Source organism: Homo sapiens, chromosome 7, assembly GCF_000001405.40.
Source record: "Homo sapiens chromosome 7, GRCh38.p14 Primary Assembly".
Taxonomy (NCBI): Eukaryota; Metazoa; Chordata; class Mammalia; order Primates; family Hominidae; genus Homo; species Homo sapiens.
Window position 1 is genome coordinate 149,456,302 of NC_000007.14, and position 6,055 is coordinate 149,462,356.

The 6,055-nt window shown below is 54.5% G+C and overlaps 1 protein-coding gene across 2 annotated transcripts in view, besides 4 other annotated features; it reads right to left on the minus strand.

Moving 5' to 3' along the window:
• The window catches only part of ZNF777 (zinc finger protein 777), a 29,700-nt gene extending 24,939 nt beyond the window's left edge, over positions 1–4,761 (minus strand). Inside the window, exon 1 of one of the 2 annotated variants that reach the window (NM_015694.3) lies at positions 4,514–4,761. Coding sequence is in view for 1 of the 2 variants with exons in the window: in XM_005249980.4 (XP_005250037.1) it covers positions 3,729–3,845 (117 nt within the window). In the remaining variant the exon portion in view is untranslated. Of the gene's footprint in view, positions 1–3,728; positions 4,288–4,513 lie in introns of those variants that run through there. The other variant, XM_005249980.4, reaches the window with a different exon arrangement.
• Positions 3,422–3,781: a silencer, noted in NCBI's record as "silent region_18756". NCBI's record gives its function as "represses an Ori minimal core promoter by ATAC-STARR-seq in GM12878 lymphoblastoid cells {active_cell/tissue: GM12878}" and the evidence as "EXISTENCE:reporter gene assay evidence [ECO:0000049][PMID:35858748]".
• Positions 3,792–3,871: a silencer, noted in NCBI's record as "silent region_18757". NCBI's record gives its function as "represses an Ori minimal core promoter by ATAC-STARR-seq in GM12878 lymphoblastoid cells {active_cell/tissue: GM12878}" and the evidence as "EXISTENCE:reporter gene assay evidence [ECO:0000049][PMID:35858748]".
• Positions 4,162–4,231: a silencer, noted in NCBI's record as "silent region_18758". NCBI's record gives its function as "represses an Ori minimal core promoter by ATAC-STARR-seq in GM12878 lymphoblastoid cells {active_cell/tissue: GM12878}" and the evidence as "EXISTENCE:reporter gene assay evidence [ECO:0000049][PMID:35858748]".
• Positions 4,402–4,741: a silencer, noted in NCBI's record as "silent region_18759". NCBI's record gives its function as "represses an Ori minimal core promoter by ATAC-STARR-seq in GM12878 lymphoblastoid cells {active_cell/tissue: GM12878}" and the evidence as "EXISTENCE:reporter gene assay evidence [ECO:0000049][PMID:35858748]".

A 6,055-nucleotide genomic window follows, 5' to 3' on the forward strand; every position in this document is an offset into this window, starting at 1 on the left:
GTACCTTACGAACAGCAGTGTGGGAGAGCGGAAGGGTGCTGGACTCCTGTTAGAGCTTTTGGCCCTGTCTACACCTATTGCCACCTGTGTCACTCTGGATCGGTCGTTTGACCTCTCTGTTCTTAGTGTCCTGTGTCCTCATCCATAAAACGAGGATAATAATATCTGACACACACACTACCTGAGTTGTTGAAGCACTGAACATAAAACTTTGAGAAACAAAAGAGCAGAATTTTGTAAAAGCCAAGCACTTACTATCCCACATCTCCCAGCAGGGGTGGGGGGCTCACCAGCAGGGGCCAGAACTGTTAATGTTCTTAACTGGAAGGTGGACTTGGCATCCAGCCACCACCACTTCTACCAGCATTAGGCCTTTGTGGTGCCCTGGGTTCCTTCCTTCGCTTGGTCCAAAAGTGAGGACATGACATTATCTGAAGTTTCCCAGACTCTTACTCTTTGATAACAGTTGCATTGCAGACTCATATCAATGAGTCAGTATGGTATATGTATGTTTGACTTGGAAACATCTTCTATGTGCCCGGCCCCTGCTGTAGAGGCTGAACGGGCTTCTGGGTATTCTGGCCTGGCTTCTGCTATAAGCAGAGCGAGACATCGAGGCAGGTGAAGGCAGGCAATTCAACCACTCCTAGGAGTGGGCAGCAGTCCATTGCAGCAGGTGTGCTCAGGTGGTCTGGGTTCCACCCTGGGGTTTCCGACATGGGGAATGAGGAAGTAGTGAGGCCTGGAAGGATGGGGAAGTAGAGCAGAAGTCAGCTGGACTGGTGACTTGTATCCAGATTTGGGGGGACTAGACCAACATAAAGACTTGGAGTCCTTCTGGGATCTCAATGACCCACGCTCTCCTTGTTCCTCACCCTGCCATACTCACATCGAGAGAATTCCTGAATCACTGGGGAGGCGAAGCCACGATCTTCTGTGAGTAACTAGTTATGTATTTACCTAGATCATCAGTATCTTTATTGGAACCTAACACAATTTCTCCTGTAACAATTTCTGTCCACTCCCTCATCATCTTCCTTCAGTCAATCTGCTCAGTCACTATGCTCTATATCCAAGTGGTCTTTAATTAAAATTTCAATTTTCTTCCGTTGAAAATTGGCATAGCCCCAGTGTTCAGTCTGACATATAGTATGTGTTTGATAAATGCCGGCTGAAGAGTAAATTGTTGAGTTACAAAAAAATTATTAGGATAAACAATGACGTTCCTTTAGTCACCTATCAGAGACTTATCTAAAGCAATTCCATATCTTCTACAGCTTTTTTCTTTTATTGGTTCATTTATAGGTGACTTAACTGTGACAGCATCACACTTTTAAGCCACGGATTGAATATTCAAGATCCTATTCACAAAAGGTTTTTGAGATAGTATCGTCTAATAGCCTCTGCCGCGAACCAGACATGAGCGCTAATCAGCTGAGAATGGCTAACAATTATCCAGCATTTATTATGTGCCATGAGCTGTGTTAAGCATTTTAAAGGATTATCTCATTTAATCCTCACAAAATCTATGAAACAGGTACTACTAGAGTTACTATCCATACTTAGTACAGGAAGACACTGGGGACAGGAGAGACTAAGCAACTTGCCCCAGGTCACCCAGTGGTCTGGTTCCACAGCCTGCAGGCTACCTTGAGGCCTTAACTGTCAACTGAGGCAGCTGGCCAGGCAGGTGTGTGCTCTGAATCCTTTTTACCTCTAAAATCCCGAGGCCTGGATATTATTTATACACAAAGACCTGTGGCAGGTTTGATAGGGTTGGGAGAGGTGGGGAGGAAGGCCTTGCCTTTAGAGATATTATCATTTAAGTTGGGGTCAGGGACCTCTTTGAAAACCTAATGAAAGTTTTGGGTTCTTGTCCTCAAAAAAGACAAAAGGGCACATACACAGAATTTTGCAGACATCTTCAAGGAGCTCACAGACCCCTAAACCTGCAGGCTCATCAACAGCTAAGCCACCTCTGAACTCTTCATTCCCTGTGAAGGAAGCGCTGGGGGCCCTGGAGGCTAGGCGCCTGGCTCTCAGGGAAAGTGACTGCCTAACGCAACACAATAGGCACATTACAGCCCTTGCCTTAGAGGGAGATTAGGGTATCTGCCTAGCACTAGAAAGAAGAAGAGGAAAAAATCCCTGGGGAGCAAGTTAGTCTCTCTGAGTAATGCAGAGGTTTAACTGAAACAATGAAACAAAACAAAACAAAACAAAACAAAACAAAACAAAACAAAACCCTCCAGTATAGTAAACAGAGCCAGCAGACCAAGGCATCTTTACCAGCTAGACAAATCAGAGCTCAAAGGAAAATACTATTTCTTTGCTATTATTAGACTGTCTCTCTCCATTTCCGGATTTGGAGGACTGTAGAGGGGCCACAGGAGGGTGTTCCCTCCCTCGCCTCCCAAATAAAAGCCCTTTGCTATAATTTAATCCATCCCGGTAAACCTGCCGCTTATCTTACCCTAAGCAGAAAGAAATGACCAAAGAGAGGGAGGGAGCTGTAAATATACCTAAAACGAATAAGCTCAAATTCTCAAATTCCTGGTAGGGGGTTGGAGGGAGAATTCTTCTGAACCATATTTGTAGGATTTAACGGTCCCTCCTTCCCCGACGGATCAGGAGTGGATGGATTCTCCAGGATTCATGCCACATTAGCAGAAGCATCCATAACCACAGTATCTGACTTATTAAGAAAGTCATGGCATTTTTTTGAATGACCCAGTATGGTTCACCCAGCATTATATACCATTCAAGGGCCCCGAAGGCCTGAGCCCAGAGTAAGGCATGTAAACATCTTCGTTTGATTTTATTTTCTCATGAGTTTTTTTTTGATTAAAGAATTGGGATGCTTTTTAGAAAGCTATATATCCTGCCTCCTTCCTGTGTACACAATAGGAAACTGAGGCTCAAAGGCACTGACTCCCATGCAGTAATCCTCTCACTAGCACGGCCAGGGCGTCTCAAAGAGCAGGTCTGCGGGAGGATCTGAGGGATGATTTTTTAAGAGTGTCTTCCTGAAGAGGAACATCAGCCCCCAACCCCTGAGAAGCTTACTCCCCAGACACCATCTGTCAGGGCACTCAAAGTTTAGCCTACGACCTTCCAGACGCAGAGGCCGGAGGCAGAGGCTGGAGCTCAGAGGGTCACCTGCTCCCACCGCGGAGATGCCCAGCTGGGCGCTGCCCGGCCTCCCCCGCCGCCCCCGACGGGCCGCGTCCGCTGCCAGGGCGGCCCAGCCCCTCACCCAGGGGCGGCCGCCGCCAGAGCCACCCCCTCCCCGTCCAGGCCCGCAGCCCTCTGGGCAGGCCTTTCTGGGGCTGCCGCACCGTGCCACGGATGCCTTGCTACGTGACCTTGGGGCCGGCAGGGCGGGTCGCCGCCAGGTGTCTGTGCCTCAGTGTCTCCGTTCTGCGAAATGGGAGAGCCGCGTCAGCGCCGCGCCCGGGCCGGGGAAGGCTCCGCGGGGCCGAGCTCTGCGGAAAACGTGCCGGCGGCTACCCCGACGGACGCAGCGCGGGCCCCGCAGGGAGCGAGCGCGCCTCCGGGCGCCCCACCTCGGGGCCGCGTGTGTGCCGGGCCGGGCGTGAGAGCAGCCTCCCTCGCACGGACGGCGGCGAGGCCCGTAGCCCTCCCCCACCGCCCGGGTCAAGACGCGCGGGCCCCCTCCAGGGCGCCCCCACCCCCCGCGCCAACGTCGTAGCGTTTCTGCCCCTTACCGAGATCCCAGGCCGGGCCGCCGAGCCCGGGACACGCAGGCCGTCCCCGGGGCCCCGAGGCCGCGCGTCCGTGCGCGCGCGGGCCGCCCTCACAGGAGCCGGGGCCGCCTCGGCCATGGCCCTGCGCTGTCCGGCCCGGGCCCCCGGAGTCGCCGCCGCTACTGCCGCCGCCGCTACTGCGCGCGGCCCCACGCAGGCCCGGCCGCCCGGCGCTCTCCGCAGGCGGCGCCGGCCCAGCCCTGTCTTCCCCGCCGGGGCTCGCGCGCGGCCGTCGGGCCCCGGCCTGCTCGGGGCGCGCGGGGCGAGCGGGCGCGGGGTCGCGGAGCCCGAGCGGCGGCGTCGGAGCTGGGCGCGCGGCTGTGCGGGCGGCCCGGCCGGCTGCGTCCCGGCGGCGAGCTGGGCCCCGGCCCTCAACGGCGGCCCCCGGCCCGCGCGCCGCCCCTCTGCGGCCGCGGCTGGGACCCCAGCTCCGGCCCCGGCCCCGGCTGCGAGCTGCGCTGCCGTCCCGGCGCCTCTTTAGCAGGGGAGCTGCACAGCAGCTGCCATGTTGCTACAAACTGCATCCTGGGAGGCATGTCCCTCTCAGGCCGTTTAAAGAGAAACACTCCGAGGCTCGTCGGAGGCTGCCGGAACCCAGACAGCTCCATCTACAGCCGGTAGGAGCGAACAGTGTCGAGCGAGCCGCCCGGCGGCGACGGACACGCCCTGAGCCCGGGCCAGCCCGTCGTGGAGCCCGGGCCGAACCGCCGGGGCCTCCCACCCTCCAGGACCCTCCGGCCTCTCACCTGGGGTCCTCGCCTGCCCAGGCACCCTCGGGCGAGGCCGGGAGGCGCGCGGGCGGAGGCGCAGTCGGAGCGCGCAGCCCAGGCGACGTGCTGGGGTCTGGAGGCGGCTTGATTGGCTCCGACAGCCTTCCTCCCGCCGATCCCCTGCGCCTCTCACACCCAGAACCCGGGGTCGTTCCCTTTCAAAACCTGCGCTCACAAAGGGATCTAAGAAACCCGTCACACCAGAGAAAGCCCGGAGTTCATGTGACCAGCTCAGTGCAGCCCGGGTTCCAGGGACGCGGGCTGTGCTTCCAAGGGGAGCCAGGGGGTTGGGTGCTTTTGTGAAATGCCCGAGTGTTGTTTTCGACATGAAAGGACCGAATTCCTAGAATCAGACCCTGCTGGGGCTGGAAGTGGCCAGACGGGTCATTTAGGAGGAAACTGAGGCCGAGTGGGCAGCGACTTGTTTACCCTCAGTCACAGTATGAATGAATGCTCTTTGTAACCATGAGAAGTCCCAAAAGAAATGCAGGAGCTTAGAGTTGAGAACTCCCCTTCCTGGACAGGTCCACTTAAACATGTATTAATTGAATACCTACGAGGTGGCGAGAACTGGGGATGAATTGAAAAGGAAAAAAAAAGAAGAAACTATAGGCAGGCGTCCTGGTTACTAGCGATGAAGCCCAACTGGAACTAACTTAAGTGAGGGAAGACGGCGGGGGGGAGCAGAGGACATTGTGTTTACCTAATGGAACCCCAGGAGTGGAGCTGGTCTTGGAAGGCAACAGGACTCAGTATGCTGGCAGCTCAGATAATGGAAAGTTATGGCCAGACGTGGTGGCTCATGCCTGTAATCCCAGCACTTTGGGAGGCTGAGGTGGGCAGATCACGAGGTCAAGAGATCGAGACCAACCTGGCTAACGTGATGAAACCCTGTCTCTACTAAAAATACCAAAATTAGCTGGACGTGGTGGCGCGGCCCTGTAGTCCCAGCTACTTGGGAGGCTGAGGCAGGAGAATCTCTTGAACCCGGGAGGCAGAGGTTGCAGTGAGCCGAGATCGCCCCACTGCACTCCAGCCTAGGGGACAGATCAAGACTCCGTCTCAAAAAACAAAAAAAAGGAAAGTTACAGATAGAGGTAAGGCCAGAGCTATGCATCCTGTCCCCTCCCTTCCCGGAGGCTAGAGTTCTCACCCAGGTCTTTATGCATTAACTAACATGTGTGCATTCGTAAACAATGCACACTACTGGTTTTGGTATTTTTACATTTTATGTGAATGATATTATCCAGTCCCTATCCTGTTGCAACTTGCTTTTTTCCATGGGTCATTTTGTTTTTGAGATACAGACATGTTTAAACAAGAATATCTGGTTCATTCATTTTACCCACAATATAGTATTTCATTGAATACATAAACTACAGTTTACGTTCCATTCCCCCTAGAGGAATGAGAACAAACCTGCTGCCAGCGACATCTGCATGCATGTCTCATTGTGCACTGCTAAAGTGCGTCTCTAGAGACGCCTAGACATGGGACTCTGGATGGCAAGAGCACCTT